General features: G+C 34.4%; 2 protein-coding genes across 3 annotated transcripts in view; one reads left to right on the top strand and one right to left on the bottom strand.

Moving 5' to 3' along the window:
- B3GALT2 (beta-1,3-galactosyltransferase 2) overlaps positions 1-5,858 on the top strand; it is a 7,884-nt gene extending 2,026 nt beyond the window's left edge. The window contains exon 2 of the mRNA NM_003783.3: positions 2,906-5,858. Coding sequence (NP_003774.1) covers positions 3,026-4,294 — 1,269 coding nt within the window. The 5' untranslated portion in view covers positions 2,906-3,025 and the 3' untranslated portion in view covers positions 4,295-5,858. The remainder of the gene's footprint in view (positions 1-2,905) is intronic.
- The window catches only part of CDC73 (cell division cycle 73), a 132,785-nt gene that overhangs the window by 70,228 nt on the left and 34,764 nt on the right, over positions 1-27,793 (bottom strand). Inside the window, exon 11 of one of the 2 annotated variants that reach the window (XM_006711537.5) lies at positions 23,072-23,465. The exons of the other annotated variant lie outside the window; for it this stretch is intronic. Coding sequence (XP_006711600.1) covers positions 23,394-23,465 — 72 coding nt within the window. The 3' untranslated portion in view covers positions 23,072-23,393. Of the gene's footprint in view, positions 1-23,071; positions 23,466-27,793 lie in introns of those variants that run through there. 2 annotated transcript variants of the gene reach the window in all.

Raw genomic sequence — 27,793 nt, 5'->3', positions numbered from 1 at the left:
AAAGCCAAATGATAAAAACTGAGTGTGTACTGAACAGCATTTTACAGTAACATTCTCCCCATGAACTTCATCCACAAGCTATAAATACACATTAATAATGTGAAGATATCAAAAAAGAAGAGATAAACCAAAGCTATTTCTCTTCTAAAAATGTAAAAGTGCAGAACTATTTTGCATACTACTGAACTTTCTTGTTTTGCTCTCTCTTTTTAAGAATTAAAATACAACAGGCAATAACTGGAGAATAATTTTATCATTTAATAAAAAGCAGGCATGGTTATTTTAATTTTATATTCTTTTTAACAAAAAAATTTATAAGACCTGAGAATCTTTTAATAAGGAATTTTTTAAAGGCTAGACACATGCACTTCATTTATCAATGGGAGATTTATAGTTATATATGGATTTAATATCTCAACAGCTTAACATCTAAAACATACAAATACCATGAAGTCTAAATTAAGATGCATCTCTATCACATACTGTTACAAAATCATATTAGGACCAAAACTATGTATTTATGCTACATTACAATATGCAATAATTTGCTGTTTTCTGTAATACTAAAATACTTTAGAGACATCTTCAGGTATATTGTTCTTATAAAAGCAACATAAATTATGATTATTTTCCATCATTTATTTACTCAGTCCTTTAACTCAAACATCCATTCAAACATCTGACCTTATTGTTTACTCCTTCTTACACCATCAAATTTACACTTTAAAAAAAATCTGTATAATTGGACTTCAACCAGATTCCAAGTATTATCATATCAGCAGAAAACAGATAACTTATCTTTGTAACACTTAGAACAGATTATCAAATAAATTTTAAAAGCAACTTTTGTTTCTTTTGAATTTACATACATAACCCTTATATCTACTGATATCCTTATGAAGTGGAGCGGAGAGTCATTATTATTTACCAAATATGTCATTTGGAAATAAAAGCTTAAAAATAGTTCCCTGGTCTAAAAAGAATGGCCAGCTATTTAAAAGTACAAGAAGGAAAACACTGAGTTTCTAAATCAGAATGCTCAGCTCTATTATTTTCAGCTTAGCTTACAGCAGAACTATGTTTTGTTGGTACAGTGAATAGCCTTGGTTTTCATTACACTAATGCTGAGTTTAAATTCATATAAACAAATTCTAACAAATAGCATACTAGATGATTTGCTTTTAAAATTCCAAACTTAAAAAAATTGTTCACATCTTTCAAAATGCTTAATTTTTTTACATTTTAGAAATATTATAACTTCTAAAAGTACTCTGTAATCTCAGAAACTAGAAATTTCAAACGCTGGTGCCTATATGGTTGGACCTTAGATATTTGTTCAAATTCCCACCTACTTGCTCCTCCTAGTGGCTGCTACTATAATAGCACTTTCATTCATTTACATCTAACACTTTCAATCAATATTTTCAAAGTACTTAACGTTATGTATGTGAATTTTACTTTATAACTATTCAATTACATGAGGATTTCCATGTAAATTCTATTTCCTAGAAGTAATTAAATTTATGCCAAGGTTAAACAAATTTAATATTAACCATGACTCTCTCATTATCACAGGCTAAATACATACATGTATTTATGCATACACTGTAATTTCAAATAAATGCTCCTGTATTAAAACTTTTTAATTGATTTCTTTTGCTTAAAGAAGTAATTTTCATAATAAAAAGTTGGAAAAATTAAAATTACATATTCATCACTCCTTGTCAAAAAGTTTTCTCCTGTTTTAATGGAATTCAAACTATACCTCTTTGCCCACCTCTACTCCCTCGACATATTGGTCCCCAAAAACTAAAAACAACAACAAAAACACTAAGAACAAATGTGAACAAATCTGTGCTATGCACTGAAAACCTTGTTGCAAGATAACATAACCAGTTCTTAATATATGCCATCATGAACCTCACATATTGCCATCTCATAACCTTTTTAAAATATAGGGCTCTAACTGTGCTAATGACAAGTTCTAAAAGTTTAACAAATTATCTGCATGTAAATTTAGAATAAAGCACAACTCAAGGATATTTAAAAATATATTGTGTGAAATTCAGAATTTTAAACAGTTGGTTTCAAAGTAGCTCTTTTAATTCTAACATGGAGACTCAACCAAGATATGTAACAGTGTTCTGCCAAAGCCATAGATAATCAAAGACACTTACATGCTGTATTTTAAAATTAATCTTAAGTCTAAGAACAATTATATCATGAATACTTCATATTTACAAAGAAAAGTTAAAATTTTTGAAAGTGTTAATCATTTATTACTGTCTAAAAATCCTACACTGAAGTTACTAGACCCTGAAAATTAATTTTGACAGGTGCATCTTCTCATTGACTTTCTCAACACAGTAGGGGCCAATGGAAACATGCCAAGCAGTGTACTGTGACTAACAGAACTCTGCCATAATCAACCTTGCACCGTCTGTCCCACAACTGATACATGACCATTTTACAAAAAAGGCCTCTGACTGTGCACCATACCACCAATAGTATGTCAAATCAATTTTAATTAATGCCAATAAATTTTCCATCTGCTCTTAAGGCGTTTTTACACAACCCTTCTCAGAAATCTAGTAACATTTTTCTCGAATACATTCAACTTTTAAATCTTTAACTTGGGTCAAAAGTACAAATGACCAGTGTAACAAGACAATGAAATGAATCCATCACCTCATCTCTTTAAAATGCTCACTGTGCTACAAAGGTATATTTTTAAATAAATTAATCTTGTTCTCAGTGATGTTATGTTGCCAAGGGGAAATAAATTACAAGCTTCGTTCCTGGGTTATATTTTCACAGCTTAAGACATTCCTATTTGCCCTGATCATATTAGTACCCAAAGTCCCTTTCAGGCAGTTCTGTAAACTTTTGTGCTTCATTTTTATAGAATGACTACAAGAGAGACAATGTGACTGAATTAGAAAATGATTGCCAAAGAATAGTATTAAGGAGAAGAAAACATTTTTGGTCACCAATCTCTCATATACCACTACTGGATATTTACAACATGCTTCAGTGGAGGAGAAGACACTGCTGCTTTGCAAAGATGACCTGGAATGCCAAAAGGTCTCTGTTCCGCACTCATCTTATTGGAGTACTTTCTCTAGTGTTTCTTTTTGCTATGTTTTTGTTTTTCAATCATCATGACTGGCTGCCAGGCAGAGCTGGATTCAAAGAAAACCCTGTGACATACACTTTCCGAGGATTTCGGTCAACAAAAAGTGAGACAAACCACAGCTCCCTTCGGAACATTTGGAAAGAAACAGTCCCTCAAACCCTGAGGCCTCAAACAGCAACTAACTCTAATAACACAGACCTGTCACCACAAGGAGTTACAGGCCTGGAGAATACACTTAGTGCCAATGGAAGTATTTACAATGAAAAAGGTACTGGACATCCAAATTCTTACCATTTCAAATATATTATTAATGAGCCTGAAAAATGCCAAGAGAAAAGTCCTTTTTTAATACTACTAATAGCTGCAGAGCCTGGACAAATAGAAGCTAGAAGAGCTATTCGGCAAACTTGGGGCAATGAAAGTCTAGCACCTGGTATTCAAATCACAAGAATATTTTTGTTGGGCTTAAGTATTAAGCTAAATGGCTACCTTCAACGTGCAATACTGGAAGAAAGCAGACAATATCATGATATAATTCAACAGGAATACTTAGATACGTACTATAATTTGACCATTAAAACACTAATGGGCATGAACTGGGTTGCAACATACTGTCCACATATTCCATATGTTATGAAAACTGACAGTGACATGTTTGTCAACACTGAATATTTAATCAATAAGTTACTGAAGCCAGATCTGCCTCCCAGACATAACTATTTCACTGGTTACCTAATGCGAGGATATGCACCCAATCGAAACAAAGATAGCAAGTGGTACATGCCACCAGACCTCTACCCAAGTGAGCGTTATCCTGTCTTCTGTTCTGGAACTGGTTATGTTTTTTCTGGAGATCTGGCAGAAAAGATTTTTAAAGTTTCTTTAGGTATCCGCCGTTTGCACTTGGAAGATGTATATGTAGGGATCTGTCTTGCCAAGTTGAGAATTGATCCTGTACCCCCTCCCAATGAGTTTGTGTTCAATCACTGGCGAGTCTCTTATTCGAGCTGTAAATACAGCCACCTAATTACCTCTCATCAGTTCCAGCCTAGTGAACTGATAAAATACTGGAACCATTTACAACAAAATAAGCACAATGCCTGTGCCAACGCAGCAAAAGAAAAGGCAGGCAGGTATCGCCACCGTAAACTACATTAGAAAAGACAATTTTTTTTCAAATGTGCAATTTGTAAATATTGCTAAAAGCATGTATAGTTAGAACTGATTACATCCGTAGGACAAGTTTTAGTTAAAACTCATCACATAAAGAAATTCAAGAAGTATTTTTTTAATTTCTGAAGAAGTTAATTCTTAAAACTATAACATTATATAACAAAAAAGGTTTCCCAAAACAATCTATTTAAAAAACTGTATAAGGAGATTCTGTGTATTAACATGCAATAACAAGCATGCATAAATCAATGGTTCAAGTCTTCTGTTAGGGGCCAATAAAATGTATCTGCATATGTTTTCCACATAAATTTTAATTCAAGAAATGACAGTCAAAAGATCCTTCATTTTAGATTAAGCTTTTCATTTTAATATATAATTTAATGTAAATAAAACATCACTATCAATTTTAAGGAAACTTTTTAATTGTGCAAAGGATAAATTTTTTGACCTATTTTAGGGTTCTAAATGCAATAAGATTTAGTTGAGTTATTCCACAAACACATTATAAAGTTCAGATGTTTCATCAATGCAGTTCTCACGAAAGTATTTACTTTTTAAAAATAACTGAGATATTATTTTAAATTTCTTTTATTAATACTTTCTTTTATTAATATATGGGGGAAAATTATTTTGACATGACGTGGTAAAATGTGAAAAACTAATGTGTCTCAGGCTCAAGTTTTTATAGTTATTAAATGTTTCAAAATAGACAAGTTTTGTTTCCTCATTGATGTTAAGAACCAAACTCCTATTTCAATGAGTTATTGGATTAGACCAATTACTGCACTCTTAAACAGCACCACCATTTAATTTCATGTATATCTAACTTCGAATATATCTGTAAAGATAATCGAAGCAAAAGTAATCACTTAAAGGCACAAATAGGATGTACTGTTGAAAAAGATAAAGAGTGCAGGTGCAGTTTCATTCAACACATTTTTAAGATGCATGTCTGCCAAAATGCAACATACGGGAAGTTTATTTCCTGACAGCAGGTGTACACATGCCAACACTTAATCATTTTATGGCACCTATTTCTTTCTTGGAGTGCCAAGTTTGCAAACCTGCAGTTTTTAATTTGGTAGATGACAAATATTCTGAATCACCAATTAAAAACCTTTTTGGGAGGGATGGGGAAAACTACAAACGTTTGACAAACACAATTCTAGGATGAACAATGTATACAATGCACTTTTATGAAGTTTTTAAAAATAAAGGAAAACAAAAAACTTTACTGAGTGTTATAAGTATTTTCACAATAATTTTGTTTGACTCCATCATGAATTTTAAAATCAAGAAATACCAACCTACTAACTAAAATAGTGTTTTTATTCCATACAAGTATGTAAATCTGTCAATCTTAATTTAGTCAGAATGTTTCTTAATTCTAATAACAATCATTTTTACCTCTTATTCTATTATTAAGGGATAAATCACCAGAAGAGAATTGTAACATTTGTGAAACTTGAAAACACTAAAACTGTTTAAGTGCTTATCTCCATTTCAAATCAGTAGCCTAAGTGTTCTACTCTAAATCAAGTGATTCTGAGAGCTGATCTATGTAACACACCCCAGCTCTTGGATCAAGCCTGTCTTTCACTTAATTTATTCTATATGACTACAGAAATACCAGAATTACTTAATAAAAGTCACACATAAGGGGATAATACCAAATCAGATCAGCATGTTTGACAGAAGACAAAAGGAATCCTTCCCTCAGTGTAGAATAATGCTGATTTATGCTTCAAAAGTTTTAAAAACAGTGTGTGTGTGTGCATACACAGGTGTGTACATAGAAAGAGAACTCAAGTTCTATTTGTCCAAATTATGACTATTTTGCAGGATCTTTAAAAGATAGTAATTTCCATCTGGAAAAAGTTTTTTAAAAAATGACTCATGAAAAACAGATAACAGACACCTAAATTCTTCCTATCTCAAGTTTCAATTTAAAATCTATAAAATTTATAAAATCTATGTAAATTTCTATATTCCTAACATTATCTTGAAAAACGATAGTAATCTGATATCAGACACTGTGAGCTCTCAAAGGCGACTGGATCAAACAGTAAAGTGTCTTTGTACTGTTGAAAATCCTTACTTTAAAATAAATATTCTATTAATTTACTTTTGACTTTTCCGCAACAATACTCAAGTCGTTTTCTTAAGCAAAATAAGCTGATAGTGTATATAAACATCTCACCACTTGTTAACTGTGTCTTCTTCATCCCGACACTATGTGATTTTTATATACATAAAAATATAATTTTAAATGACAGCTTTGCTTTTGGTCAAAGGGTACACAAATAACTAATCTTTATGTTCAAAGTGTTAATAGGTACTTAAGAAGATGAAAACACCAAAACTTTCAATACTTAGAATACTTATTTATTTTGATCAAGTATATAAGTGGTGAAATTCTAATTCAACCAAATAATTGAGATTTCTCCTCACACCTCTTTGTATACAGCATAATCACATATAATCTCAACTGCAATTTTATTAATGTGCTATTTCCAGCAAATTCTACAAAAATAATACCAGTAACAGCAGTAGAAACTATTTACTGATTGTACAAGCAGTATGCTTGGTACTGTGTTAAAGCACTTTACATACATGATCTCATACAACCCTCAGGAACAACACTAAGACAGGAAGGACTCGTGTAAGAGGTTAAATACCTAAGATCACACAGCTAGTAAAGCAGCAGATTTCCATTTCAAGGATCATGTTCTTTTTTTTTTTTTTTTTTTAGACAGAGTCTTGCTCTGTCGCCCAGGCTGGAGTGCAGTGGCCCGATCTCGGCTCACTGCAAGCTCCGCCTCCCGGGTTCACGCCATTCTCCTGCCTCAGCCTCCCGAATAGCTGGGACTACAGGTGCCTGCCACCGCGCCCGGCTGATTTTTTTTTTTTTTTTTTTTTTGTATTTTTAGTAGAGATGGGGTTTCACCGTGTTAGCCAGGACGGTCTCGATCTCCTGACCTCGTGATTCGGCCTCCCAAAGTGCTGGGATTACAGGCTTGAGCCACCGCGCCCGGCCGAGGATCATGTTCTTAATCATTACACTGTTCTGCTATTATTTCACATATGACAGCTGATTAAAAAAAAAAGTCTAGAGCTGAGCAAAAATGGTCTGTCCCTTTATATTCCCATTCTCTGTTCTTCATCCTTTGCCAGGCCTCCAGGCTTCATACCATTTTCACACACTGGAGGGGCACCTGATATTAGGAACAATAAAGACAAGAGAAAAGAGAGTATATCTGATCCCCCAATTATTTTCCCTTCTTTCCAGTTGTTGTTTAATGGTGACAAGAACCATTGCAAAACATACACATTACTGCTTATCTCTTGCTTCTTTGGGCCCTGAGGCACAAATGCAAACAGCAGGCAGGTGGCACTTAGAAATTATAAAATTTGCTTCTTTTTAAAGAACAACTGCTAATTTTTAATAGATAAAAGTAGAACTGCATTTACCCATCCTACTGTTTGGTCACCTACCATTTTGTCATGAGAAGGTAAAACCAGTTCATCCAGACTATTTGGATAAATTTTCTATTTTTTACTGTTTAACTAGGAAATTTCACTATGAGATTAACATAGCCTTAAAAAGTAGAAAAAAAATTCCTATTGACAGACATTTCTAAGGCATCTCCAAGAATTTCAATGTATCATTTAGACATTAATCCCAGAAGGCAGATGATGTATATTAAATACTAAAATGGGATAGAAAACCCACTACCACCAAATTTTACAGTAATAAAATTGTTTGCTGCTCCTATGATGATTCTTTAATGCTCTGTAAGACAATGTCCTCTGTCTGCTATGCCACCTAAACAAATCCTTGGCAAATGGATCCAAGGACAACTTCTCCTAAAGAGGACATGCTGAAGATTTTTTGTCTGTTCATAATCAGTATCCATGACCAAGCCTCAAAAAAGCAAAACAGTTCTTGTGTATACAACATAATGGAGTTGATGCTATGTTGCAATAAATGCCTTATTACTGGGAAAAGATCAGGGAAACGGTTTAGGGGCCTATGTTCCTAGGGTCACACCACCATGAGGGAGGGCCAACACAGCCCCAAAAGTAACCACAAAAACTGACTGCCTGGGCCTGATACAATGCAAAATGTTGTCTGAGCCTAGAAATTAATGAACAAAGAAAACTAGCCCAATGTTTCACATTTGCTTAACATTTAAAATTTGTTTTAAAAATGTGTTTAAAATTTTATTCCCTTATCAGGGATCTGTTTGTCTTCTGAAAAGGTTAATGAAAAAAAAATAACTACAATCTTCTTCCTAACAGATTCATGCAAGAGAGGGAAGAGAATGACTCCTATATACTTCAGAGAGAAAGCTAATAACTGAGCAAAAAAAAGACAAGTAAACTTGATTTTTACAAAAGTAAAGTTTTAATCAAAGGTCATAAGCAAAACCTCTAATTTAGAGTACAATTATACCTCTGTATCTGTGGGGAATTGGCTCCAGGACTCTCTGCAGACACCAAAATCCACAGATGCTCAAGTCCCTTTTATAAAATGGCATACTGTTTGCATATAAAATATGCACATCCTCCTGCATACTTTAAGTAATCTCTAGATTACTTATGATACCTAATACAATTTAAATGCTATGTAAATAGTTGTTATGCTGTATTGTTTAAGAAAAAAATAACTCACACAAAAGTCTATACATGTTCAGCACAGGCGTTCTGGGTTTGGTTTTTTTGTTTTTTGTTTTTAATATTTTCGATCGGCAGTTGGTTAAATCTACGGATGTGGAACCCACGGATATGAAGTGCCAACTGTGTCTGTATGTCTGTAAGTCATGTACACTTAATATGAACTAAAACCTAAGTTATCTTCTATCATCACCTTTGCCACTTCTTTCTCTTGCTATTGCCCATATCCATTTAACCCAAAGACTTACTTGGATCCCTACTGGAATCCATCTACTTTTCTTCATCTTGCCCCTATTTAAAACAGCATCACTCATTTTTTAACTACTGCAATACCTTTATAGCCAGTTTCCTCATATCCACATAATCTGTTGCCAATATTACAGCCATAATGTTACTTTCAAAACACAAAGCTAGGCATGCCATCCCACTGCTTCAATGGCTTCTCAAGGTACTATATACCAAAATCCCTAAAACCCTTGGCCAGCTACAAGGCCCATAAATGATTCTCTTCCTTGCTAAAGCTAATCCCTCTACCCAATCTTTTGATCCCATTCATACCTTCTATCTCACTGTAAATTATTCTCTCTCCCTCGAGACTTATTTAAAAGAAAAAAACAAAAAATTCCTGGATAAGGAATAGTGAATTACAACTTGACTCAATGAAACAGTCTCACTCTTTTCGTTTAAAGCATTTTCATTTCATTTAAAGGAAAATGTTTTACAGTATCAAATCAAGTTTTCTCTATAGTGAGAAAGGGTAGTAGTGACATGGAGAGAAGGAATTCCAGAGATGTCAGCAAGTAAGGTCTACAGGCCTTCATGATGGCTGGATACTAGAGATGAGAGAGGAGTAAGTGACAAGGATGATGCCTAGAACACTGGCCTGAACACTGACAGTGCCATTTACTGAGAAAGAAAACACTGTATAAAGAATCTGATTCGCCAGGAACAATGTAATAAAGAATCACCAAGCAATGTATGAAAGGATTGTCAAGTGGCACTTGAGGGCCTATATATTACAAAGCATCATTAACAGTAATAATGAATTACAATTACCACTCTACACCCATATGAAAGTATGGAAAATAACTAAAAATATAATGTATAACATAGGCTTCAGATTCATTTGAAAATACTTTTCAAGCAACATTTACATGCAAAATACTCTGTTCTCAGTACTGGAGATATAGTGGAAGGCAAGAAAGACATAGTTTCTACCTTCAAATTCATATATTTAAAGAAAGATTATCAAAGGAAACAAATGAACAACAAGATAACTAGAAGAAAAAGGGTCCTGAAAAAGTTGCTGATGAACTGAGATCTGAATTATGAGAAGGAATCAGTCTTATTAAGAGCAAGAGGAAGAATGTTCCAGACAAACAACTGGAAGGAGAAAGGCTAAGAGGTAAAGAACTTGTCAAGTTGTTGAAAAACTTAGAAAAAGCCACCGAGAAGACTTGTAGCCAAGACCTTTCTTAATATGTACTGCCCCTTTAGAGCATGGAATTGTGGATAGAATTCAGAAGAAACGTAATGGGAAAAAAATTTACAATTTTATTTTCATTAATCTCTTAATGAAATTAAGACTTTCTTCAGGAATGCAGATAAACCACAGTATTATTATTATAAATGGTTACAACTTTGTCACCAACAAAAATCAGATTTTTTCATAACATATTAGAATAAAGATATCCCAAAATTACATATGCTCATTAGACTTCTAAAATCTGGTATTTATCAAATTTGCCACTAGATCATGTTACATAATGCATTAGTAAAGAAGCACAAATCATGTCATAAATGTGTTTTTAAAAAATATCTTGATTTTACTTTAAATACAATTGGTTTTATCTTATGTATTTTCTTTTATGCCTTAAAAATATATTCAGAAAGAGGATTCACAGGATTTCCAGTCTGCCAAATGCACCAATGGCACAAAAAAATTATGAACTACAGCAAAAGATACTTGAGATTCCTAACAACTAAACGCAATTTATGGTGCTTGTTTGGGTCTTATTTCCAACAAACGAATTACAAAAAGACAATTTTCAGGAAATCGAAACTGTAAAATGAACTGTGTGTTAGGATTACATCAATATTATTTATTTTGTTGTATACAATGGCACTGTGGCTATGTAAAAGATGTCCATATGTTTAAGAGAGGCAAAGTGTGCAGGAACAAAATCACAGTGTTTAGATTTTGCATTTAAATACTTTAGAAAAAAAAGGAAGAGGTGGAACAGATAAGGAGAGCCTTTAAAAATGGTAATTATACAATCTGTGTGATGGGAAGATGGAAGATCACGTGCTATTTTCTCTCATTATATTTACGTTAGAAATGTTTTATAATTAAGTAATTAAGAAAACCAAGAAAAAGAAATAGAATAAGGCATACCCTTTTAACAGCTGCTTCACAATAAGGAGCCTCTCTAAAGGAAAAAGATCACAAAAAAGCACAACCTGCAGAGAGCAAACCAGAGAACAAGACTCCTTTCTCTAGGCTTATGTTGCCCTAGGCCAGGTTGCCTGACTTGATGAGTGTGCAATGTAACCAGGGATTTTCCTCTTTTCTCCACCACTGTGCTCAGGAAGACTGCAAGAATCCCTAAAACTTGCTATAGTATTCATATTTTTTGACTATGTACTCTATCTTAAGGCACTCATGCACTCATTTCAAAGAAAAAATAAACCTAAATCCATTATGTCAGTTGTCTGGGCCTAGAAAATTAAGTCTTTGATCAAACTGGTACATCTTGGTATTAGATACAGCAATGGTTTAGGAACAATAATCTTATAGTCTTAAGTTACCAAGTAACAATCAAGTTTAGGCCTTCTATTTAGGTGGACCTGACAATTCAGAACACAGGATGGCAAAAGGAAGAGGGAAAAAGGATGCAGTGCCAGGTAACTGTAGTCTTCACAACTGATAGAAAGCAAAACGTCTGAATGGAAGAGTGATGGAATGCTTGACTTAGGCAAGTGGGCCATACAAGATGGTTCCCGGGTTGTCAAAAAAATGACAAGAACTGAAAGAGAACTCTTCATTTATGTTAACTGGGATGAACTATCCATCTCTCGGATCTTAGCATATTTAAGGTAGGAACACATAAAAGGCTCTATAACCTGCAGGAAGGTTGGCTCACTAATTCTCTCTTCTTCCCTAATCTATTTATACTGTCCTGCTCTCCTAATCTGTCATCAAACTCAGCAGTCTCTCACCAATCAACTGCTTATCTTTCCACTGCAAATCAATACAAAAAAAAGAAACCTCATAACTTTATCATATGCTGTTATAAATCAGTTGGATATCTTAGCATAAATATTACTCATTTTAAGTAATTTTCTTAAAAAAAAAAAAAAAAAAGGTACCAAAAATCAGCCAGGCGCAGTGGCTCACGCCTGTAATCCCAACACTTTGGGAGGCCGAGGTGGGTGAATCACTTGAGGTCAGACATTTGAGACCAACCTAGCCAACACGGTGAAACCCCATCCAAACTAAAAATACAAATATTAGCCAGGTGTGGTGGCGCACACCTGTAGTCCCAGCTACTGGGTAGGCTGACGCAGGAAAATCACTTGAATCCAGGAGACAGAGGTTGCAGTGAGCTGAGATGCCACTGCACTCCAGCCTGGGCGACAGAGAAAGACTCTGTCTCAAAACAAACAAAAATCAACTCTGTTTAACATTAAGCAACCAAAAATTCATAAAATTTTTATTCTTCCAACACTAACAAATACATCTTTTTTTCATTTATTAAAAAATATTGATTGAGTGTGGTGGTATGCAGAACAATGGTTCTCCAAAGATTTCCATTCGCCCTAGCCCCCAGAACCTGTGAATATTTTAACATTACATGGCAAAGTTACTTTGCAGATAACTTTAAAATAGGGAGATTTTCCTGATTGGCCCAGTATAATCACATGGACCCTTAAGAGGAAGGGAGAAGAGTTAGAGAGAAACACAGCAGAAGAGAAGAAGAACAAGGGAGAGTCAAAGCATGAGAGGGACTGTATCCACCAATGCTGACTTTCAAGATGAAGGAGGCCATGAACCAAGTGGCCTCCTGAAGGTTGAACTAGCCCTCAGTTTACATCCAGCAAACAATCAGGGACCTCAGTCTTAAAATCACAAGGAACTGAATTCAATCAACAACCCGAAGGAACTTGGAAGTGGGTCCTTCCCCTAAGTTTCCCAAAAGGAACACATTGCTGTTGACACCTTGACTTCAGTCTATGAGACTCTAAGTGGAGGCCTCTCCCTAAGCCACGATATACCTGAACCTTGGATTTACAGAACTGTAAGAGAATGTTTTAAGCTGCCAAACTTCTAGTAATTTATTACTGTGACAATAGAAAATGAACAGAGGTATCTACTTTGTCCCAAGAACTCTGCCAGGTACTGGGAATATCGCTGGGACCTAGACAGATTGATACCCTGATAGCTGGGACACAGACTCAACCATGTGCAGTGTTCAGCAGAGGCTAATTCTTTCTTGATCCTGTTTGCCAATAGTTCCTAAAGCAATTTGCTTGCCAGTGTGTGCCTCAGTCTCCACAGTTGAAAGACAGCAGTTATCACACAGGGCTTTTCTCTGGAGGGGTAAACACTTGTGAGTTATCCATATAGTCCTTGGATAACCTGTGCAGACTTAACTGCCTCCTGATGCTGAAATGCATCTCCCACAAAATGTGGCTGTGCCCCCTTTGCTCACAGATGTGTTTTAGAAAGATGTTGCCTCCAGTTCAGGGTGTAGCACTTACTTGATGGGATAATTAGACATCAAAAGTAACTCAACAAAAGCAAAAGATGACAAATAGGATCTAAGCAAAAGAGATTCTGCACAGCAAAAGAAACTATCAACAGAGTAAAAAGAAAACCAACAAAATATGGGAAAATTTTTGCAAACTATGCATCCAACAAAGGTCAAATATCCAGCATCTATATGGAACTTAAACAAATAAACAACAACAACAACAAAAATCATTAAAAAGTAGGCAAAGGGCATGATCACTTTTCCAAAGAAGACATACATCACCAACAATCATATGAAAACAAGCTCAACATCACTAATCATTAGAGAAATGGAAATCAAAACCACAGTAAAGATACCATCTCACGCCAGTCAGAACGGCTATCAAAAAACAAGATGCTGGCAAAGTTGTGTAGAAAAAGGTAGGCTTACACATTGTTGATGAAAGTGTAAATTAATTCAACTATTGTGAAAGAAACTGTGGTGATTCCTCAAAGACCTAAAGAGAGAAATACCACTGAACCCAGCAATCTCATTACTGGTTATATACTCAAAGGAATATAAATCATTCTATTATAAAGACACATGCATGCGTATATTCACTGCAGCACTAGTCAAAGTAGCAAAGACATGGAATCAACCTAAATACCCATCAATGATAGACTGGATAAAGAAAATGTTACATATACACCATGGAATACTATGCAGTGATAAAAAAGAATGAGATCATATCCTTTGCAGGGACATGGATGGAGCTAGAGACCATTATCCTTAGCAAACTAACACAGGAAAAAAAAACAAATACCACATGTTCTCACGTATAAGTGGCAGCTAAATGATGATAATACACAGATACATAGAGGGGAATCACACATACTGGGGCCTGTCGGAGGGTGGAGAGCAGAGAGAGAGGATCAGAAAAAATAACTAATGGGTATTAGGCTTAATACCTGGGTGATGAAATAATCTGTACAACAAACCCCCATGACACAAGTTTACATGTGTAACAAACCTGCACATGTACCCCTGAACTTAAAAGTTAAAAAAAAAAGAAATAAAATTACAAAAGGGATCACACTAAGAAAAAATATTTGTCAGGATTTTATTTTCAAAAACTCATTTGGAAATACATCTTACAGCATTGCCTCTTATTGCTTTATAAAATCCAAATTCATCATTAACAAGTTTCATTTAATATTCTTGCATCTCATAAGATAAACAGGAAAGTAATTTTATCTACAGTACATAGGCATCAGCCATTATGCAACTGCCTCCATTCTTACAAATTTATTTTTTATTTTTTTTTGAGACAGAGTCTTGCTATGTCGCCCAGGCTGGGGTGCAGTGATGTGATCTTGGCTCACTGTGACCTCTGGTTCCTGGGCTCAAGTGATCCTCCTACCTCAGCCTCTTTAGCAGCTGGGATCATAGGCATGTGCCACCACGCCCAGCTAATTTTTGTATTTTTAGTAGAGACAGGATTTCACCATGTTGGCCAGGCTGGTCTCGAACTCCTGGCCTCAAGTGATACACCGGCCTTGGCCTCCCCAAGTGCTAGGATTACAGGTGTGAGCCACCATACCCAGCATCATTCTCACAAATTTAATGTTAAAGTTCATATTTTTACTTAATGCATATGCCAGGTATGGGTGTGTTTAAATAGCATCCTTCTTAAAATTCATCTAAACATCAATTTCTAAAGACATAAAATGAGACAAGTACTAATTACTTGAATTAGAAATAAACAGTTGCCTCCATATCCACTGATAAAAATTTAAGTCAAGAGTAAGCAAAATACAGCAGTGAGCCAAATCCAGGCTGCTACTTGTTTTTGTATGGCACACAGGCCAAGACTGGTTTTTACACTTTAAATGGTTGAAAAAAAAATCTAGATAATCAAAAGTATTATTTAAAATGTAAAAATTACACGAAATTCAAATTGTAGCATCTATAAAGATTTACTGTAATGCAACCAAACTCATTCATTTACCTATTGTCGATGACTGCCTTTAAAACAGCAGAGGTCAGCCAGACGCTGTGGCTCACGCGTGTAATCCCAGCACTTTGGGAGGCTGAGGCGGGTGGATCACCTGACGTCAGGTGTTTTGAGACCAGCCTGGCCAACTTGGTGAAACCCCGTCTCTACTAAAAATACAAAAATTAGCCAGCCATGGTGGCAGGCGCCTGTAATCCCAGCTACTCAGGAGGCTGGGCCAGAGAACTGCTTGAACCCGGGAAATGGAGGGTGCAGTGAGGCAAGATTGCGCTACTGCATTCCATCTGGGTGACAGAGAGAGACTCTGTCTCAAAAAAAAAAAAAGGCAGAGTTAAACATGGACAACAGAAACCTTATGTGGTACTCTCAGGTTTAGTTAGCACTGCCAGTTGGCACAATACAAATCACAAAAAATGCAATTATATTGCTTTACCTTACTTTAATCCTCCAAAAAGCATGTAACACTAAATTTTGTTTGTCCTCCCTCCTATTTATATCCCCAGGGCCTACAATACTGCCTAGCATACAGCAGGCACACAGCAAACATTTCCTGGATGAATGCAAAACACAGCATTTTGTGTGCCAAGCATTTTGTCACATAAGGACATCTGAATTTTATTTTTTTAATTACTGGTACCTACACCACATTAAAACAAAAAGAGGCTGGTACCTACTCATCACATTAAAACAAAAAGAGGCCAGGCACAGTGGCTCACACCTGTAATCCCAGCACTCAGAGGTGGAGGCGGGCAGATCACTTGAGGTCAGGAGTTTGGGACCAGCCTGGCCAACATGGTGAAACCCTGTCTCTATTAAAAATACAAAAATTAGCCAGTCGTGGTGGCAGGCATCTGTAATCCCAGCTACTCAGGAGGCTGAGGCAGGAGAACTGCTTGAACCCGGGAGGCAGAGGTTGCAGTAAGCCAAGATTGCACCACTGTACTGAAGACTGGGCAACAGAGTGAGATTCCATCTCAAAAAAACAACAAAAAAACACAAGAAAAGTAGTATGCTCTTTAATGTACAATAAAATCAGATGGCAAAGCACTGTTTACCATCTAATGCAATGACACTACAACTGTGCTAAAAGAATACAATATAAATATTACCAGACTAAGCCCTCATTGCAACATTCCCAACTCAGATGAAAGGAATGGTCAGAAAACACAAAATTTCTTTACAAAAATTAAAAAATTAAAATTAGGCTGTGAAGCAAATTTGAGAGGTTCCTTGTTAGCCAGGGAAGGAAAATGGTTAATCTATGGTTAATTAATTAAATTTGATTTGATTAAAGCAGTCAAAAATGTATTCAGAGGAAATAAATTTGTTTTAGACTATTAGCCTTTCACTACTGCTTAATGAGTTGAGGTCATGGTGTAGCAACATCAATTGTCAATCAGAAGTCAAGGCAAATGACTGAGTGGTTTTCTTTGGCGCTTGTTAACATGTTACTAATACCACTCAGTTATGGTTTATTCGAGGAGTCCAAATCATGTTTTGAAGTGGCTGAGGAATTAGCCTCTATGAGTAGCCTACATAAAAAAACTACAGGCAGGAGTAATTTCAAAGTAGTTCAGAAAACACTAATGAAGTACAACCTGAAGGGGAATCTATTAAGATGCTGATGCTACCAAACAAATGGTAGTTAAAACTATGTGTGGAGCTGAAAACAGCTCAGATGGGCAAATTTAGTCCATCTAAGAATTCTACTACACTATTTTCTTGATTATTTGCAGATTTATCACTGCCAAAGGAGGGTTATGTGGAAGTTCCCCAATTACATAGTTAATGAATTTTGAAATAATACATAAAATCTCATTATAAACCAGCATTGATGAATTTGCAATCAATTTTGGTCATAGAGAACACTAACTTGGAACTTCAATTAAGCAAAATGTTCCCTCACACCCAAAAAGAAATTCCATTATTCTCATTATCAAATCAGTATTGCACATTATTATCATGCATTGTACTTGTCATTAAAAATTTGTGACCAGCCTGACCAACACGGAGAAACCCCGTCTCTGCTAAAAATACAAAATAGCCGGGCGTGGTGGCGCATAACTGTAATCCCAGCTACTCGGGAAGGCTGAGGCAGGACAATCGCTTGAACCTGGTATGCAGAGGTTGTGGTGAGCCAAGATAGCTCCACTGTACTCCAGGGGCAACAAGAGCAAAACTCGGTCTCAAAAAAAAAAAAAAAGAAAAAAAGTGTGAAAATTTGATTTATCTCTTGTTACATAAGCACCTACATAATTTCCGTGGTTTTGTCTATCGGCCTGTAAGCCTAAAGTACTTAGTTTCTGGCCCTTTAAAGAAGAGGTTTGTCAATCCCCAACTTAAATCATTACATTTAAACCATTTTAAATCACTGTAGACTAAAAAATGTAAGGCAATAATGAAAACACACTTAAGGCTGGGCGCAGTGGCTCACACCTGTAATCTCTGCACTTTGAGAAGCCAAAGCAGGAGGATCGTTAGAGACCAGCCCGGGCAACACAGTGAACCGTGTCTCTACAAAATATACCAAAATTAGCTGGGCATTGCAGTGCATGCCTGTGGTCCCAGCTGAGGTGGGAGCAGTGATTGAGCCCAGGAAATAAAGGCTGCAATGAGCTCTAACTGTACAACTACATTCCAGCCTGGGTGACAGAGCAAGACCCTGTTTCCAAAAAGAAAGAAAGAAAAAAAAATGCACTTAAACTATACAAACTCCTGCTATATTACTTACTTTTGCTCATACCTGACTCTTCATTTTTATATTATCATTAAAAATAATTTCACATTAAAGTTTCTAAGAGTTCAGCTTAGATAACAAACACTGGTTTTGGAAACTAGGTTTTATGACTAACTTGATAATTGTTTTTTAACAAAGTCAACCTAAAATTACAAGGCATAACAGAACTTACATGTAAAACTCATAGTGAAAGGATGGCTGGCTTATTTTTATGGGCAAACACCAAATATCAATACAGTGTAAGTAAATAAGGGCACATATAAAAATGGTAGGTTGTTCCTTACAGACCAAATGTTAGCATGCTCAGCTTAAGTGTACCAGTGGAGACCTCAACCACATTTTGATCAATTTTATGCATATGTGGGAGGGAGAGAGAGATACGAATGCATGTGCATGCATCCATGTGTGAAAGAGAGAAAAAGACTAATTATTTTCTTCTATTACTGAAAATGGTTCTGGTAATTTCACTAAATACATTTTATGTAAATACAATCAAATGAGTAAAATGTAAACAAAACTTTTACACAATCCACCAATTATGAAAAATATTTCATGCTTTGCATTTATGCTGTATGTATCTTCACGTCTTTCAAATATGTCACAGCAGAATTTTTTAATGTGTCCATCCTGAGACTGTGTAAAACGTTCATCCCAACATATAATTATTACTTATCTACTGATACATAAAGTCTTCTTTATACTTCTCTATTTGTACTTTACAATGATACTACTTTATTTGCACTTTAACCATATTTGATTTTTTACTCATATTGACTGCATTCTGAATCTTAAGTACTTTTATACAATGCTAAGAAACACTTAAATTGTAATGTCTTTGCAGCACTGAAATTACTAATTGGGAGGGTGAGGTTTAAGGAGCCTCATTAATTTGACTATCAACCTGTAATAAGTGAAAGGTAGAGAAAGTGATTTCCATGCTGAGGAAAGTGGCATACACCTGCAATCTCAGGTACTTAAGGCAGGAGGATGGCTTGAGCCCAGAGTTCAAGTCCAACCTGGGCAACGTAGTGAGACCTCATCTCTTTAAAAAGAAAGAAAGATTTCCAAAACCCAGCAGGAAATCCCTGCTCTTCTCTCCCCTTCCAAATCAACAAAGCTAAATGTGACTAATCCTAAATTTACAGCTCAAACGTGCAGAAAGGTCAGTCTATCGCTCCTCACCTCTCCTGTGATAAATCAGATCCTTTGGATATCTACATTATAAATCCCAAATTCAAAAGAGCTAGTTCCCTCACCAACACTTTTTAACAAATCAAATAGAATGGAATGAAACACAGTCCTAAAGTTGACTCAGTAATCTATACATCTAAAGAAATAACACATCATATCCATCTGGCAAGGGATTAGTCAGACACAACAAGGAATAGAAATCACAATGGCAAATCAAAACCTATCTAAGCAGTGCCCAAGGGGAAAGGTACCCTGGACTTGCAACAAGTCCTTTTTTTTAATGAAGAGTTAAAAATAACAGACTACTTTAATACCACTAAACATTTGAAGGATATAATTTATTATATGCTCATTGCACAGTACACTGTGATTTCCAATGTAGCTTTACACAGAGAACATGTTATGTGCTAGAGGTGAGAATCCAGTGCCCTTGTTAATTACATTTATCACTGCAAATTAATAAATCAGCATTTGATTTCAAATGCTACTCTCATAAGCTTAATTAAAATGAATCAGTTTCTCATGGTATACTAACATTACTTAGTTTCTCAGCCTTTCTCTGGGCTACAGCAAATTACTAACATAATGCCACCCTATGAGACAACTCAGGATTCAGGCAGCTGATCAACCATAGGCAACAAAACCTCCACACTGCTGTTCATCACCAGCAGTTATTTCTCCTTTGATCTGTTACACAGAAAATATGTTGACTGAAATTATTCAGTCACTTAGAACCAGTTACTATGTACTATGGACTAGTCTTCGATGATCTACAAGAGGTTTCTAATATAAAATGTAAATGTAATACTGCCAGTATGACACAATGAAGCATAGTTTTGTAAAATCTACTATACTGGGCTGGGCATGGTGGCTCATGCTTGCAATCCCAGCACTTTGGGAGGCCACCGATCACTTGAGGTCAGGAGTTCAAGGCCAGCCTGGCCAACATGGCGAAACCCCATCTACTAAAAAGTACAAAAATTAGCTGGGTGTGGTGGCGGGCACCTGTAATACCAGCTACTCAGAAGACTGAGGCAGGAGAACAGCTTGAACCTGGGAAGCGGAGGTTGCAGTTGATCCAGATCACGCCACTGCACTCCAGCCTGGGTGACAAGAGTGAGACTCCATCTCAAAAAACAAAAAAATCTACTATACTATAGCCTTTTTACACTGATGTTTAAAGCTTTAAAAGTTATACAAACTTTTCAAAAATATTAATGATGACTCAGAAAGTTAGAAATAATACAAATGTCTATCACAGGTGCCCCAAAATTGGTACCTATCAATTTATTAGAAAGTATTAGATGATTTATGTCTACTGCAGTTAACCTAGGTAAAGAAAAATATTTTCCAATATCAAGTTATTTAAATAGTTACGTTCTTGAAGTTTCTTCTTAAAGTAACTTCTTTTTTTGGGGGGCGGGCAGGGTCTCATTCTGTTGCCCACGCTGGAGTGTGGTGGCGCAATCATGGCTCACTACAGCCTTGACCTCCTGGGCTTAATCAATCTACCTGCCTCAGCCTCCTGAGTACCTGAGACTACAGGCACATACCACTACGCTCGGCTAATTTTTGAATATTTTTGTAGAGGCGGGATTTTGCCAAATTGCCCAAGCTGGTCTCGAACTTCTGGGCTCAAGGAATCCACCCGCCTCAGCCTCCCAAAGTGCAGGGATTACAGGCATGAGCCACTGCGCCCAGCCTGTTAACTTTTCTAGGAGGGGGAAAAAAAAAATATACACACACACCCACACACACACACACACACACACACAACCCCACAAAGTTCTTGATGAATTATAATGTACCTACAAATTTACTATCAGAATAATTGGTAATTATTCTGTCACTCTAAAACTCAGTAATTCCTAAGGATATTGTGAAATACCTTGTGTAGCTAGATAAGTTACTAAAATATTATAATCCTATCAGAAGCTGAATGGGGTGTTATTTTCTAAAAGCCATCTATAGAACACAAGTAAGAATTCAGTAACTTCTGAAAGATCAAAAAGCTGCTTTATTTTAGTTCTCAAGTTTGGTATAATGAAATATATTAGGAATTCAATTCCAGAATATTTATGGCACCACACATAAGACAGAAATGACAAAAAGACACTGTAGAAAAACTGGAGCATCTCTCCAAAAATACCAAATTTGGGGAGGTAAATGATTACAGGATTGATAATGTCCAGAATTCACTGTAGAGGATGATAAAAGACTGAATCAATTTTAATTGTAATGTGTAAAAATGTTAAACTGGCGGGGTGTGGTGGCTCACGCCTGTAATCCCAGCACTTTGGAAGCCTGAGGTGGGCAGATTACTTGAGGTCAGGAGTTCGAGACCAGCATGGCCAACATGGTGAAATCTCTACTAAAAATACAAAAAATTGCCAGGCCGTGGTGGTGCACGCCTGTAGTCTCAGCTACTCAGGAGGCTGAGGCAGGAGGATTGCTTGAACCTGGGAGGCAGAGGCTGCAGTGAGCTGAGATCATGCCACTGCACTCCAGCCTGAGCGACAGAGTGAGACTCTGTCTTCATATGTGTATATATATATATACACTATATATAATATATATGTATATATAATATATAGTATATAGTATATATGATATATAATATATAGTATATATAATATATCATATATACTATATATTATCTATTATATATACTATATTTATTATATATTATATACAATATAATAGATAATATATAATATATATTATATACAATATAATAGATAATATATAATATATATTATATACAATATAATAGATAATATATAATATATATTATATACAATATAATAGATAATATATGATATATATTATATACAATATAATATGATATATATTATATACAATATAATATGATATATATTATATACAATATAATATGATATATATTATATACAATATAATATGATATATATTATATACAATATAATATGATATATATTATATACAATATAATATGATATATATTATATACAATATAATATGATATATATTATATACAATATAATATGATATATATTATATACAATATAATATGATATATATTATATACAATATAATATGATATATATTATATACAATATAATATGATATATATTATATACAATATAATATGATATATATTATATACAATATAATATGATATATATTATATACAATATAATATGATATATATTATATATTATATATATTATATTATATGATAGATATATAATATATTATATATTATATATATTATATGATAGATATATAATATATTATATATTATATAATATATTATATATCTATCATATAATATATATTATCTATTATATATTATCTATTATATATTATATAATAATATATATATGCGTGTGTATAAATAAAGTTAAATTGACTTGATTTCAAAATAAAACTCTAATTTGATCTTATATAGTTTCAAAAATCTAAATGTAAAAATAAAAGCTTTTTCAATGACACCCATAAAATATGACAAGTTCAACAGTGAGTTATCTGAGTTCTATGGTATGACTTTTGTCTCTAATTAAAACAAAAGTAAGATCTTAAAATTTTTCATTTCTAAGCATTTCAAGTGAATATGTCTTCAATGGATTCAGTGCAAAGCACCATTCTGAAATTTCAAATAAGAACTTAGTTTCTAAATAGCAAGATTTGTCCAGTCCAGAAGCAAGTAAGAGTTTAAAAACAGGTATTTAAAAAAAACATGGGAACAGTCACTCACAGAGGAACATGAGAAGCAGGAAAGACAAGAAGAACAACACTAAAAGAAACATCCATCAAGAAAAAGACCTGGAAAAGAAACCAAAACTTAGAATTAAAGATCAAATGAGGTTTGGTAGGATGGGGGAGGGGAAAGGGGATGAACTAACTAGACACTTCAATGAATACTAAGACAAAAATACTGAGACAATTAATTTAAAAAATTTGAATGCAGGAATTATATAAAAGATTAAAAAGTCACTCAAAAATCTAAATCAATTTACAAAGACCGAGAAATTGATCCAACAAACTAATGTTCAGCCAGCAATAGCCAATGGAAAAGTTCCCATCAAGGACATACCCAAACACCCAAATATAGCATGTTATTAAATATACTAGGTTTTTTTCATATAAACCAATTGATTTAAAACATCTGTCATAAAGTTAAAAGGGACATTAAAGATTAATATTTGTTCAAAATAATAAAGAGAAATACAGAAAATAAAAGCATTTGTATGTTAAAGAACAGTGGTTAATCTAAAAATACAAGGAGTAGTAGGAAATTAAAAGTTATAAAATATGTTTAACACTGACAATAATTTTGTTAAAATTGAATTAAAGTTACACTGATGCAGGTAAATAGAAAGTGGAATAAAAAGCTCTATTAAGCTGAAAGAAAACTAAAATCTTTGTGCAATTCTGAAAGTCATCTATAACTACAGCATTATATACTAAACTATAAGAGAATATATGTAACCAAAACTATGTTTCATAGTATAAATTTTTGTTATTTAACAAAATATATTTCCAAACTGGTTTCTGTGTTTCCTATTCTTACAACGATCAATATTACAGCATTTTAAAACAAAGTGATGTTAAATTTATTACTAAAAATTATTAGTAATCTTGATTTCAAGATTACTCTGATATACGTGGCAACAATAACTTTTCTTTCTTTCTAAAATAAATCTCAAGTGTTTTGTGATTGTGGCATTAACTCCATAGTCATCGGCAGAATAATTTTAAAAGTTATGTTACAGATATTAACTAAAACCTCTAATATGTTTTGGGTAAACTAATAGTTATTCTTTAACAAAATGCAAAGCTAAATTGAGTTGAATTGTACAGGCTTACACAAAATGTATCAACCAGTGTGCAATGGATTTTCAATAAATCTCAGTTAAGATATATAAACTAAACCACATAAAAATAATATTCGCTTTATATGTATTAAAATTCCCTGACATGAATATGTTGTTGCTGTAATTCATTTTTCTTGAAGTACATTAGCACCAAAATGCTAATAATGCTGGCAAAATATTAAGGTTAAATCAGATTCTAACACCTCTTACTACAAGGAAGGCATGAAATGATTTAATATTTACCCATCTAAATAAGTGTTCAGTCTAAATACTAGCCAATTAGAGAAAAAGAGTATATCTGTATTATTCAGTATAAAACGTTTACAAAATATTATATATGTTTAATATAAAAACATTTATGCAATAACTACAATTAATTCCATACTGCAATCAAAAAGCAGTGAAAGGAGGCCGGGCACGGTGGCTCACGCCTGTAATCCAAGCACTTTGGGAGGCTGACGCAGGCAGATCGCTTGAGGTCAGGAGTTCGCAACCAGCCTGGCCAATACAGTCTCTACTAAAAATACAAAAAATTAGCCAGGCATGGTGGTGCACGCCTGTAATCCCAGCTACTTGGGAGGCTGAGGCAGGAGAATCACCTGAACCCAGGAGACGGATGTTGCACTGAGCTGAGATCACGCTACCGCACTCCAGCCTGGGTGAGACAGTGAAACTCCATCTCAAAAACAGTAATAAAAAAACAAAATAAACTTTTAAAGAAGCAGTGAAAAGGGCAATGCTAAACAAGGTGTAACTGGATACAGTTAAACCTCAAAACAAATCCCTAAGGAAGTTATACCACCTTTCTGATGAGAAAACTGAAGCTTAATTTGCTGTAACAAACAGGCCAACAAATCATAATATAAAGTTCTCTCTTTTATCTCCCTTATATTAAGACTTGGTCCAAATCTATAACCAGAACATTATCTGCCCCCGTCAAAAAAAGTTGGAAAAAATCACAAGGGGGAAAATTATTATAAAAGGGATATAAAGGATTTTTTACAAGTACCATTTGTTGAGCTTCTTTGTGCTAAAAGAGAAAAAAATATTGCCTATTCACTTACGTGATGGCTTCTTAGAAAAGTCTATGAAAAATGCATATCTAACAAAAAACTGTATACAACAGATAATATGTTAATACGGATATATGTTCCGTAACACATAATATGTTCATGTAACAGGTAACAAGTATATAAAATAAACTTTCAAAACTTAAGGGATACAATGGACTATTATATACATACTATCTTAATTTTTACATTTTGTAAACAGTTTTTACATATATATAAAAAATAGTGTTTCATTTAAGGGGTACACCTTTATACTGCTAGGCGGACACATGATAGAACCACTCTGTTTCCTGAAATATCAAGACAAGCAACAAGTTTTGAAAATTGTTTAAAGTGTAATATAATATTCTCAAATAGAATAATATGCCAGTCTAAACACAGAGTACAGAAAAAACATTTTATAAAAGTAATATTCCTACTTATAATTATGTAACTACATATTAAAATCCTGAACACTTTATATAATTTTCAGATGAAAGTTACTTAATTTTTTTTTTTATTTTTAGAGACAGGGTCTCGCTGCTTTGCACAGGCTGGTCTCAAACTCCTGGCCTCAAGCTACCCTCCTGCCTCAGCCTCCCAAAGTTCTAGGATTATAGCTGTGAGCCACCATCCTGTCCAGAAAATCAGTAACTTAAAACTAAAAGAAATTACATTTCTTTCTAAGTATGAGTCCTAACAGATGGATGGAAAAGGCCAACCTAGTTATTACCCTCTTTAAACAACTTATTTGCAGCTACTTTCTCTCAAATGCAAAAGATCTCTGCTATAAGATAAACATACATAGTTGTTGCAAAAACACCCCAATTACTTGAAAGAAAAAGACTATCATAATATTTATATAAACTAGTCTTTATAACTTTGAATGAAAATTATATCATTAACAATACTAAATACATATATTAATAAATATAATAAATTATAAGTACAATAAAGCTATATAGTTGCCTACATTTACACATACATCTAATTAAGTTTACAGAATCATAAATTAATAATACAAGTAGCTACCATTTGTTAAGCCTCTTTGTACTAAGCATTTTATACAGTGTCTCCTTTAATCTTCAACAATACTATGATGTAAGTTCTATTATATATATTATAAAATAAAAACAAAATCACTGATAGAAAGGTTAAATAACCTCCTCAACTTCACAAGCAGGAGAATGAATGGTAGAACTGAAAATCAAAGCCAGCACTGACTTCAAAGCCTTATATTTGTTGTATTTCCAACTGATTAACTTATCTTTAACAAACTGGTGCTGCCTCTAGAGCAGGGATTTCAAACTAGACGGCCAAAACAGTCTATAGATGTAGCAGAAATAAGTAAAGAAGGCTAAATAAAAGATAACAGAGTAATGAGGCCTGTGGCAATCTAGAGAAAACCTCTTATCTAAAGGAGGTAGCTCCTGCTCAGGTGGATGTGGCTGTTGCCATGTGAGACTACAGACCCAGTACGCAGTCATGCCAGATAGATTTTAAGGAAGCTGGAAATCCAGACTGTTTATGTGACAAGCTCTAATTTTTAAATGGTGGTGAATAAGATAAAAACTTAAATTATAATGGATGCCTAATAAAACATATCTGTGGCCACATTTAGATTGGCACAATGAATGACTCCATCAGAAGCATGCTAAAAGAGACATATGATCTACCTTACCATCTTCTTCTTCCTGACTGTTCATAAACGTTAGTGCAATGTAATGTAATAATCCACTAACATTTACGAACAGGCAGGAAGAAGAAAAACAAACTTTCCTACAAGCATCCTTAAAATATATACAATAACCAGTCTTCTTTCAAATCTTTCTACTCCCCACTCTCTCCCCATCACAGGGCTTTTACTACTGCTTTTTGTTCACTGCTCCTAAAATGTGTTTTCCTGTCATCATCACCAAGTTAAATCCTACATAAACTTCTGATCTTATTCAAGAATTACCTCCTAAATGAAGTATTCTGACTCCTGCAACAAATCCCCCAATTTTAGGCTCTTGTTGCACAACGTACCTTTAACACTTGTCATAGTCACAATTTTATAGTGTGACTAATGTGTCCCTCCCCAATCAGATCATAAAGTCCGTATGAACACGTCTGGTTTTGTTCATCTTTGATGTCCCAGCACTCAGCACACTGCCAGGCACACAGCATGCACTCAACAAATATTTGCTAAAGGAAAGAGGAAGAAAAGGAAATAGAACCCCAAGGA

The sequence above is a fragment of the Homo sapiens genome, chromosome 1 (assembly GCF_000001405.40).
Source record: "Homo sapiens chromosome 1, GRCh38.p14 Primary Assembly".
In the NCBI taxonomy this organism is placed as follows: Eukaryota; Metazoa; Chordata; class Mammalia; order Primates; family Hominidae; genus Homo; species Homo sapiens.
This window is presented reverse-complemented; position numbering and strand designations above follow the sequence as displayed.